The sequence below is a fragment of the Homo sapiens genome, chromosome 7 (genome assembly GCF_000001405.40).
Source record: "Homo sapiens chromosome 7, GRCh38.p14 Primary Assembly".
NCBI lineage: Eukaryota > Metazoa > Chordata > Mammalia > Primates > Hominidae > Homo > Homo sapiens.
This window is the reverse complement of record NC_000007.14, coordinates 50,394,087-50,405,659: the sequence shown is the minus strand read 5'-3', so window position 1 is coordinate 50,405,659 and position 11,573 is coordinate 50,394,087. Positions and strand designations below refer to the sequence as shown.

Here is an 11,573-nt window from a genome sequence, read left to right as displayed (position 1 = left end):
TCCTGGGAGATCATTGGAGGCACTGGAGCCGGGGCAAGGCTGGAGTCGGTGAGGGAGTCTCATGGCAACTCAAAACTAGGGAATGGTTTTGCTCAGGCCTGTTTAATGGCAGGAGAAGCCAGTGGGAGCCTAGGATGCTGAGGGCAGGGTTGCTATTCTAAGAGCCACGGGGAATCCCTTTCTGCCTCCTTAGAGGAAGTTAGGGGCGGATGATTTGCAAAAAGGCAGAGAAGACAGATCTGTGCAGGCAACAGCAACATTTTGCCTTCAGCTCCGCACAGCAACACTGTGCCAGCCCGTTCTGGGTTCTGGTGCAGAGAAAAGGCCAGAAGTTTTCAGAAGGATTTCCTGGGCTTTGGAGGAACGTGGAGTTTCGGTCTTGGTTGTCAAACTTCCTCCAGGTCTTTTACCAATTGCTCAATCCCTTGAGTGTGTCTTTTGTGCCTAGCCCTGTGTTGGAGTTGTAAGGCCATAAAAGAAAAGACATGAGTTTTGGGAACAGCCAAAGGGATTTCGTTCCTTGAGAACCCATATGCTTCCAATGAGAATGTGAGAAGGTTTCACCAAGGAGTCATAACCTCCAAGACATTTTATTTTGACAGAAAAGGTGTGACACATCCATCAGAAATGGGATCAGAAATTTTTGGTCTCCCAGTCCCCAGTCCTGATTTTTAATTCCCAATTTCAAAATTCTATACTAACATCCAAACTATAACTTGACTTTTAAATTTACCCCACTCCTCGGGAAGAGAAGTGCAATGCAGGCAGGCAGCTGTTTCCAGGAGATCAGAAAAGGGTAAATGAATACTCAAGATTTACAGCGTCAAAAGGCTATGTTGAGGATAATTCTTATGACTATGTAAAAGACAAGGTAGTGAAATTGTGAGGGCCCTGGGCCCGGCCACTCACAGAATGACTGAAGCATGCTGCAGTGGAGAACTGGAAATGTATCTCTTGTTGCCCTCCATCTCCACCCACCCTCAAGACTGGGACTTAGAATTCCCACGTCCAGCACTGTTGTAGATGGGAGGTACGTTGTGCTGAACTGCTGCGCTGGCCACATCAAGACACCACATGTGTTCCCAAGTGGTATTGCAGCTGTCCTGAGGCCCATCTCTTCTCCCTCTCATATTGGGATCTCATTGGGAGAAAGTCTAGGCAGATTCCTGCTCTGCTGGGCCTTCTCTTACGCCAGTGTGGACTTCACGGGATAGGGCAGACAGAGTATTCGTTGCATTTATTTGTTCTATCACTACAGAAGAAGCATTTCAAAATGTGTACAAAAGGATACTCTATTCCTCCAGTGGTACATCCCTTGTTCACAGCTAAACAGCAATAATTTAACATCATCATAGAGGCAGACTGGAAATATGACTGCATTTCTCATTTACAATCCTGTGCATGTACTCGCCAGAAGGGCAGCTGAAGACCTAAAGCTGTACTGGATACAACAGATTCGACCTGAACAATCACCACACACAACATTATAAAAAACTGTATTAGAAAGTATTGGAAACAATATTGCATATTAATATGTGGTTACACATGTTCACAGTGAGTGCCATCGCACCAAAAGCATTATGTGCTTCTTTTTTCTGATGCCTGTACATCTTAAATAAGTCTAATAATTTTGGTTCATCTTAAAGTAAAAATACATTGAAATGAATGAGAGAGATCTAGATTTTAAAAAAGTTGACCATTCATTATTGCTGGAACTGAAGAAAGGAAGGATACACTGGCATCACGATTTGTCTACATAAGTCCAGTTCATCTCGCGTTTGTTTTGGCAAGAAGAGGACACTACAAAACTCACAGTGCAGTCAAAACAAAACAAAACAAGAAAAAAGCACAAAAATGGTCGGTGGGGAACCATATAACAAAACTACATCTCAGGCAGCTCTTTCTCAAGGAAGATTCTAAGATTTTATTATGTGGCTAATTCTAAATTGGAAATGGAACATGCTGGTATGTGAAGCAATTGGTGCTAGGACTTTACCCTTTGCTGATATGCAATGATAATGTGATGAGTTTTAGTGACTCTTGAATTAGGATAATCACACTCTTTAGGTACAAATTACAGAAGGGATATGGGGCAAGGAGCTGAGATCCAGGCTTTCCACATCCTGGGAAGCTGGGGTGTCAGGGAGGGGGCGGAACAAGACACAGCGATTACTAGCTGTAATCAACAGGCCAACCTGTTACCCTCCGGTCTCCAATATTTACTTCAAACACAACGAGAGTGCATGGAATCTAGGCACACAGTAGTACACAGCGGTACCCAAGACACACACTCACGCCATCATACAACAGAAGAAACTACGCAAAAAAAGTGTGAAGTCATGCAAACTCCTACTTTACCAGCTAGAAGAGAAACTTCAGCAACTTTTGGTACATGATATGGCCACCTTTTAAACATAAGTTAATTACTTGCTGACATAATATGAAACCTTACTTTAAATACAATAGTTTCAAAGAAAAATGGTGTTACAATATAAAACCACAACAAAAGGTGTGCAAAGAGACATTTATATTGGCTATAAAAGGCAGTGAGAGGAAAGGGCAAAGCAGTTTAGAAAAGAATTCCTGCAATCACTATTTACAGTTCTGGTTTGAGCTTTGTTTGAATTCCACTTGAAAAAATAACTCCCTTCAACCAACTGACTCAGGGGGATGGATGGAAAAGAACAGAGTAGGTGAAATTTGCAACAAACTGACTCTAAGAAGGCTCTCACCTTAGAGATATTAACTTGGATAAGGCGCATCTTTCTCTGTGATTGCATATTGAAGGAGTGCTGTCTAAAGCCCTTGATCCTCTGTCTCTCTTCCTTCACTCAGTGCATTGGTGCAGCAATTTTGTTTATTCCCGTTTCCAAATGCCACACCCTTCTGTGAGCAGAGAAATCCATGACTCAAGAATGGTATCTTTGTAAACTCCATCTTTTCAACAAAACTCAAATGTTTATGAGGAAATATATTTTTAAGACCGAAGGGGAATAATTGATTTATAGAATTTATAATGACTCCACATGAACACAAGTCAGCCTTGATACTGCTGACCGGGAATATTGGGAATATTCTTCAAGTGCTTTTCTATTTTTTTTCTTGGAGGGCTTCCCAGACATTTGATTGGTTTAGAATTCATTTGGGTCAGTGGTTCTCCCCCAGGAGTGATTTCTCCTCGCAGGGGACAGTTGGTGATGTCTGGAGAGTTTGGGTTGTCAATTCGGGGTGCTACTGGCGTCTATTGGGTAGCCACCAGGGATACTGCTAATTATCCTACAATGCACAGGAGAGCTCCCGCCTAACAAATAAGTAGTCAGCCCAAAATGTCATAGTGCTGAGACTAAGAACCCCTGTTTGGATTAAATGCTGAGGTACTTATGTACAATTTCCTCTCTGTTGCTTCATTTCACCTTGGGACAGTGTTGGTGAAGACAAGTACTGTAAATATTTGAAATGGTATATTCTTCATTGCCTAGGTGGTTGAGAGTAATGACCTTAATGATTGATAGCATTAATCTTGAAGGAGACCCTTGCTTGTTGGGATTAGAATCTCCACACACCTTCCTCGGGCTTCAGTGCCTCCATGTCATAGCACGGATGGGCGGGGTTCTCACCTGCAGTGCCATTTGCCTCCTCTTTCCTAGGGGATCTGGTGGCATTACTCTCCGAAGGTCTGGCTCAGTCCCTCAATTGCCCTGTGCATTCCAATATCCTACAGGTGCAGAGCCAGCCATCCTATGTATGTGTGGACACACATGCTGGCTTGCCTTTACAGTAAAGAGCTTCAACATGTTTGAAAGCTTGGTTTCAAACAGGTGAGCTCTGTGTGTTAGCAACAGAGATGCTGGGCTTCACATATTTCATTGAGTTGAAAATTAATGACTGTTCTAAATCACTCCTTTATGGGTTTTAAAACGAGAATAATATATAGTGAGGGTAGGTAAAGAAACTTACCAACACTGAGAAATTCAGGCTTGTGGCTACAAACAGATGTACATAATTAAAATGAGGGCTAGGATTGGATTTCTTCAGGAAAAGAGGCCTCTGGTACTAGATGGAACCAGCCAGGGAAGGAAGAGATTTGAAATAAAGCTTTGGTTTCTGAGGAATGTTGCCGTTTGAGAGATTCAAAAAGAAAGAAGATCCAAATTTCGGGACTGGTGTTTAAATTGTAGTGACAGATTTTGGGGGCCATTAAAGGTATGGGAGTGAAAAAGCGGGGAACAGGGCTCCCCAGATATGCCCACGGGAAGACAGTCTCCTCCTACGGGGCAGCAAGCCTCGGGAGGCTCAGGCCATCTGAGCAGCCTCCGCAAAGCCAGTGAATCCAGGACGATCCCAAAGGCTCTAGCCCGGCGTCTCCCTCCACCCAGGGCAGTCTGACAGACACGACTTTCCCCAACCAATTCATTTTCCTACGCAGAATATGACTTGAAATAGTATTTTCTCTCACAAGTGCAGCCTCTCCGCCCTAGATGCATGTAGCTCGAAGCTGGCCTGGGCACAGGTTGTTGGCCCTGCTGTGTCTTGGCACTTGGGTGGCGGCACACCTGTCCTGTCTGCTCACCTGCAGACCCACACAGCAGGGGCTGTGCTCTCTGCTTCTGGGGACTGGAAAAAGACACCTGGTGCGCGAACCCCGTGCTTAGCACAGGGTAGAGCACGCTCCTTCCCAGGCTGTGGCGTGTTTTATCTATTTCTCTCTGAAAATTTAGACTAATCGTTTGGAGAAGGGGATTCTAGGAAGCGACAGGTGAGGGAATCTCAGCCAGCGGTCTGGGGAAACATCTAGGAAGGTAGCAGTTCTGGATGCTCCCAATGCAGCCCTGCCTCTAAAAATAAAAATCTTTTCAAAAGCAAATCAAACCCCAATCAACCAACTCAAACAAAAAACAAAAAACAGTTACAAATCCAAACACAACATTGTCTGGTCCAGTCCAGTCTATGCTGCTGGCGGGAGCGAGAAGGCGGCAGTCCTTGTGCTTTTCCTGGGGTGGCTCGGGGTCTGGGGTGGGGGCGCGGGAGGGCTTTAGCTCATGTGGAAGCGGTGCTCCCCTCGCGTTATGTGCGACGAGAACTCGTACCGGTCCTGGCTGTGGTAGCCGCACATGTTGCACTCAAAAGGATCACGGAAGCCGTGGCAGCCCATGTGGATGGTGTACATGACGTGATCCAGGAAGAGCACCCGGCAGTGTTCGCACTTGTACACCTTCATCTGCTCCCCGCTGGTGCTGACCACGCGGAGCGCGTCCTGCGAGTTCTCGGAGGCGGCGCGCAGCAGGTCGTAGGCGCGGTGCTCCTCCTTGAGCGACAGCCCGTTGCGCGCGTGCGGGGCGATGTGGTTGGTCAGGTAGATGAGACCGCTGCGCTGCTCCTCGTTGTTGCTCTCGGTGTCCGTGGAGTCTTGGCAGCTGTTGCTCGGGGACGCCTCGCGCTCCGAGGGCACCAACTTGGCCTTGGAGAGCAGCAGCAGGTTCTCCACGGCGCTGTCCTGGGCCGAGTGGTTGGAGCGCGGGGTGCCCTCCGCGAGCGGCTTGTGCAGCTGGTACATCGGGCTGATGACCGGGACCACCTCGGAACCGCCCGGGGGCGTCTGCACCAGCGGGCGCAGGGACTCGGCCCCCAGGTAGTTGATGGCGTTGTTGATGGCTTGGTCCATCACGTGGGACTTCATCATTTCGTTCTCCTTCTCGTAGCTGGCGCTGCTGTCGTAGGGCGTGTCGGACAGGCCCTTGTCCCCTGTGGAAAGCAGGCGACAGTGAGTGGGGCGCGGCCACCTCCGGAACCGGTCAGGTCTGGCAGCAACAGCTGAAATCTACAACCGGGGAGGGGAAGGGGAACACGGCCTGGGGGCCCAGCACGCCTGCGGACCCCACACCTGCACACATACACACACACCTGCGGACACATCACACCTGCACCATACTGACGGGCTGGGGGAAGGCCCATGCGTCTGTCTAGGGGACACCGAGCCAGGACCTACCCATTATAAGCACTTAAGGAGATTTTGTTGGATAAATGAATACATAAATAGGGGAACCAAAGATTAGTTTAATTATGTTATTGTATTTCATTTAATATTTTAAATAGTGTATTTGAAATGATGCTTTTTCAGTAGAGTGTTCTCAGTAATTTACAACTGGCTAACTTACTATACATTTATTGAATTAAAATAGACAATAATTATATTATTATTCATTATATACAATATATTTAAAATATGTGATATGTTAAATTATTAATTTTAATAATTGTATTTAATAATTTTAATAATCTAGTGTAAAATTTAATCAAAATACATGATGATTGTATATTTTTTGTAATAAAATGACACATTTTTGACAAATAACCCAAAGGTAGATGAACTCTGTCTTGAGATGAGAGTGGAAGGGATACTCAAAAGTAATTCTCTGTAGTTGGCAGGCCCGAAGCAGGGCTCCCCAGAAACATGTGGTGGAGGGTAGGAGGCACAGCAAGGGAGCTACAGGGAAAATAGTTGCTATTCATCTGTTATTTTTTAAAAGTAATGAGAATTATTGATGTACAAGGAACTACTGTTGACGCCTCAGCAGTGATTGGGCCCTGGCCTTGAGAAACTTCTGATCTAACATCATCAGTTCATAGGAGTCCATGAGCTCATTTCCCTGGCAATGGTGAAACCAGAGCCTAGATTTGGCTTCTTCAATTAGCTTTGGAGTAAATATCTTAATACAAAAAATAAATTTTCTTGAAGACACACCTTCTCAATATGTTGGTCATAAGTTCAGTATGAAATCATGGCTTAATTAGCAAATTCATTAATTACAGTAACTGCACTCTTACTGGCAAGACTGCGGCTGTGTTCTGTTTTCAGCAGTGGTACATTAATGAGTCAAAGCACATGAGCCCATCCTTGGAATGTCTGAACGGTTTATATTTTACCACTACTCTGTATATTTCCATCCTTCAACACATCTGGACTGGGCAGAGGGACAGAACAGTGAGTAAGTGAGAATGGTCCCCATCCTTAGCAGCAGACAGCTACTAGGGGAGGGTAGGTAGAAGTTTATGTGTGATTGCATGGATAATTCCTTCCCATCTGAGAAATCCACGAAGACAAGGGGAGCGTGCCATGAGAGCATTACACAGGTTTCTGATCTTGTAAGAGTCAGCCAGATAAGGAGGGTTGATAAGGAGGGTTTTGTGTCCCAGTGTTGGGGACAACAAGAAGGAAAGTTCTGAAGGGAGAAGGGGCTGGGAGGTGTGGCAGGACCGAGTGAAGGTTGGGGAACCAGAGCCCTAGGTGGGGGCAGTGCTCGAGAGGTAGGCAGGAGGGGCAGGCAGAGGCCAGCTAGGCAGAGACTTTGTCTAAAGGAAAATGGAAACCACTGAAAGGTTTGAAGGAAGAAGTGGCCTTCTCATTCACTGTGGAAAGAACAGCTTGAAGAGGGGCAAAAGTGAGGGATAAGTCAAAACTTCCCCAATGTGCAGGTTATGGCTGATGATGGCTGGTGAGGGTGGTGGCAAGGGAAGGTCCCAACACCTTCCACGATGCACCTGACACTGAGGTCATCAGCTGGTTCTTACTAACAGAAGGATAAATTACTCTGTAATTCATACATTTACTAATAGTCCTTTTATAAAATCTGTGACCATTAAGAATTGTCCAGGAATATATGCCCCATTATACCATAAAGTACCTTTGAGTTTCATGTCTTATTTTGTAATGGATATGTATCATATAATAGCCTGGTTTCCATTCGTTTTCATCTACTGGTGGTCAGAAGTGGCACATACTCTGATTAGAGAAAAAAAACTTGTGCATGGCCAGTTACGCCCTCCCAGAAACAGAACAGGATGAAAACCCTATGAAGCTGATGGTAGGGACCAAAGAAGTGGTGTTTCTCTCCATTAAAGGTCAGAAAAAGTAATTGTATAGCACTGCTGAAACCACACAATTTTTTTGTTTCTGTTTTTGTGTTGAGCAGCTAAATGTCTTGTTACACTAACTCCAGAGAAGAATGAATCCATTCTAGTTTGTATCCAAGTCTATCCCTCTACCAAATCAAGGCAAGAAAAGGAGGGGAATGGACTTTGTAGCCAATTTTGCTAAATATAAAAGTCTTTACAGCCCCACCAAAAGGGTGCTTTCCCACCTAATCATCCTGTCTCTCCCCAAGTCATGGTTCTGTGGTTTCCCAAGCAACCACTGAAATCTGTTGTTTTCAAACTTGGTATCACAACAAATGGGTGTAGGAAAAAAATCAACATATATGCCAGATTACTGTGCCACATGAAAATTACCATAGAATTTCTCTTCCTTAATACCCAACAAAACAAGAAAAATAAAAACCTATAAATTTCTCTTAACAGCAATCAGCTAAAGGAACATGTCATGTATAGTCATAGAATATTATATATACACATAATTATATATAATATGCATTTCATTATGGCGTGTGTGAGAACACACATACACTCAAAGACTAGAAAGAAACAGAAAATTCTGACATGAGATGTAGGGCAAAGCTTTGCTGCTAATCTCATTTCCAAATCTTTAGGTGTGAGTCAAGAATAACCTCAGAATTTTCCCTCATAGCCTCATATCTATAAAGACATGATTCAGATAGGTATCTTTTCCCTGTTCTGATCAGAAAAGCATTTGAAACCTTGGCTGACAAGAATCAGATGAACATGGAGAAGTGAGCCCCTGCGGGCTCCCTGGGACAGAAGCAAAGTCCTCTGTGGTCTACACTGAAGGGGAAGATGGCCCAAAGCCCCAGAGAATCTCCTGTGGGGATGAAAGCATTCCCCAACTAGGTACAGTGCTGATGGCTTAGGGTATTTAACTAAATTTCAGATGAGGGAGAGAGAGCAAAGGAAAAGTATTTTAACAAAGGCTGCACTTTGCCTCACCAAACTCCTCCAACCCCATCTTTGGCATTCTTTCAGGATTTAGAAAACCCAATAGCTCTCACAGGAAAAAAAAATATAGTGGGAAGAAGGCTGAAATGTCAATCAAGCTATATCAGACCAACTAGAATAAGCAAGATGAAAAGAAATGTCAGGGTTACTAGGAAAATATTTTCTAGAAATACAGGGGAAGAAAGGAAGTAAAACACAGACCATAGAGTCCCTCCTAGGGGAAAAAATCGTTAATTCCAACAAGAGAGGAAATGCCTCATAATTGCTTCATAACATGGAATCAATTTTAAAAGTATTCAAAATAAAATGCAAAAGCAACAGAGTAAGAGGAAAAAAGAGATTTCGGGTCTCAGGAGACAAAATAAGGAGCAAAATAATATTATTATAAAATTAATGCATGGATTAAAAATAGCAAGTAATAGAACAGGAACTACTAAAAATTAAATTACTGACAGAGGAAAACCACAAGAGAACAGTGAGTAAATGTAAAAATAGACAAAGAAATAAACAAAAAACTTTAAGAACTGTTAACAGATATGGAAGACAAATTATCTAACATATGGACAACTGGTATCCCTCAACAGAGATCACAATAGATGGAACAAAACATATTTATATAAAAGAGAATTTCCCAGAAATAAAGAGAAAAAAAAGGGACTCTCTAGACAAAATGGCAGGAATTTTTTATTCCGAATGAATAGACCAAGATACATCCTAATTAGGGTATTTAACTTCAAGGTTAAATAAAGAACCCTCAGGCATTCAGGAATAAAATGCAAATCACCTTGAAGAAGAAACAGTTACACTAGACTTGATGTTTCCACAGCAACATTCAACAAGCAATGCCATCAGCAAAATCTAAAAAGTTCTCAAGGGAGAAAAAGAAAGAGTGGCCCAAGACCATAGACTCTGTCAAAATGCTCATCAAATACAAAGGCAACAGGCCAACATCCTCAAAAACAATACAATGATAGAAATAGAACATCTATAGAAACTTTTTTTTAAAAAAGTTGCTTGAATGTAAAGTCCAATCAATTAAGAGATTAATCAAAATAAACATAAATAAGAAGAAAAGGGCAGGGTCTGATCCTTGAATCTATTTAAATAGAGTTAGTAATAAATAACTAAACTACTATGAATTATGATTACAGAATAGAATGTGAATATTACAAAGCTGGACAATGTAAAAATAATAAGATAATGTGAACACTGGAACACTGAATGTGAACTGGAATACTGTCCTTATTTTTCAAAGCAGTGAGCCAGTAGATGCTGCTTAAATTGAAACAAATGGATTAAAAAAAATTCAAATTTCTTAATGTTTTTCATAGTACATATTTTTAATCTTAGAGGATCCTTTAAATATAATATTCCTTTATGTCAGAGGATATTTAAAATAAGCCGCTTCTCTAGTTTTGTTTGGGTCTTTTTTCACCTCTTGAATTTAAGGCATGTATGATAAGTTGGAATATTTATGAAAGTATTTATTTCATATTTACCTATCCATCAATCCACCTAATTCATCAGCCTATCCACTCACATACATATGCAACAGAAAATATTTAGAATGATACTTTTCTACTTTTAATATTGGTAATTTCTGGATGTTGGGTTTTGTGGTGATTTGAAAACATTAATCTTTGCATTAAAATTCTTTATATTAACTTTGTGTTATTTTAACAATATAACAGGGTTTCTTTTTCTTACAAAAGAAGAAAATATACCTAGATAATTATAATGGGTAGCAGGAATATTGGTAATTGTTGTTTTCCTCTTTGTGCTTTTCTCTATTTTAAAAACGTTCCCAAGTCAAACACCAGACAGACTAAAAACAACAATTATCATTGCTATTTAATACAAGCCCTTTTCTAATTAGATTAATCAGTCCTGTTGACCTGTATTTGATGGTCTCAGAGGGGGAGATCTTTAATGGCCCCAGTGGTGAGGAATGTTGCTGGCAAAACAAATACTTATTCACACTCACGTCAAAGTTTAAGGTAAAAATTTTAATCATAGGTTATAGAACAATAAAGCAAAACTATAATAGCCACTCTGAGCAACAGTCATCATGAAAATCTTACATTCTTAAGATGCTTTCTAGTGTTGGGAGCACCATCACATCCATCACCCCTTCTGAGCCTCAGAATAGCTCTGGGAGGAGGCAGGGCAACAGACCCACACCCATTCCACAGATGGCAACACTAAGCCCAGCACCATGCTCAAGGCCACCAGTCACTCCTAGCTGGAGCTGACTCTGAAGGATGGGGCTCTCTCAACTGAACCACTATTGGGCCAGCTTGTGTGATAACAGCTGTATTCCTAGTCTTTCCACATTCACATGAAGGCTAAACTCAGCATCCGAGAAGTGGAGAGGGGCCTCAGAGACTCACTCACCTTTTAATTTTAGGGCTGCAGAAGCTGTGACACATTGGGAGTGACTGATGGAAATCTCATCAAGTTGAAGCGGGGGTAAGGTAGGTATTTTAGGGCAGGAAGAGGCATCATTTTTACAAATGAACTGCCAAGCACCAACAGATTATGCAGCTGCTTGTGAGTCTTTTGCTCCAAACTCCTCTTCTGCTACCCTCGTCCACTGTTCCTACTATGTCCCCTGGGAACTCCTTTTTCATCTTCGCTTTGCCTCATCAGAGCACTGTGTTGTTTAT

At 42.6% G+C, this 11,573-nt stretch overlaps 1 protein-coding gene across 59 annotated transcripts in view; it reads right to left on the bottom strand.

The window, feature by feature from the left end:
• IKZF1 (IKAROS family zinc finger 1) overlaps nucleotides 559-11,573 on the bottom strand; it is a 101,647-nt gene continuing 90,632 nt past the window's right edge. For all 59 annotated transcript variants that reach the window (XM_011515058.3, XM_011515059.4, XM_011515067.4 and 56 more), the window contains one exon: nucleotides 559-5,742. In XM_011515058.3, the coding sequence (XP_011513360.1) occupies nucleotides 5,033-5,742 (710 nt within the window). In that variant the 3' untranslated portion in view covers nucleotides 559-5,032. The remainder of the gene's footprint in view (nucleotides 5,743-11,573) is intronic.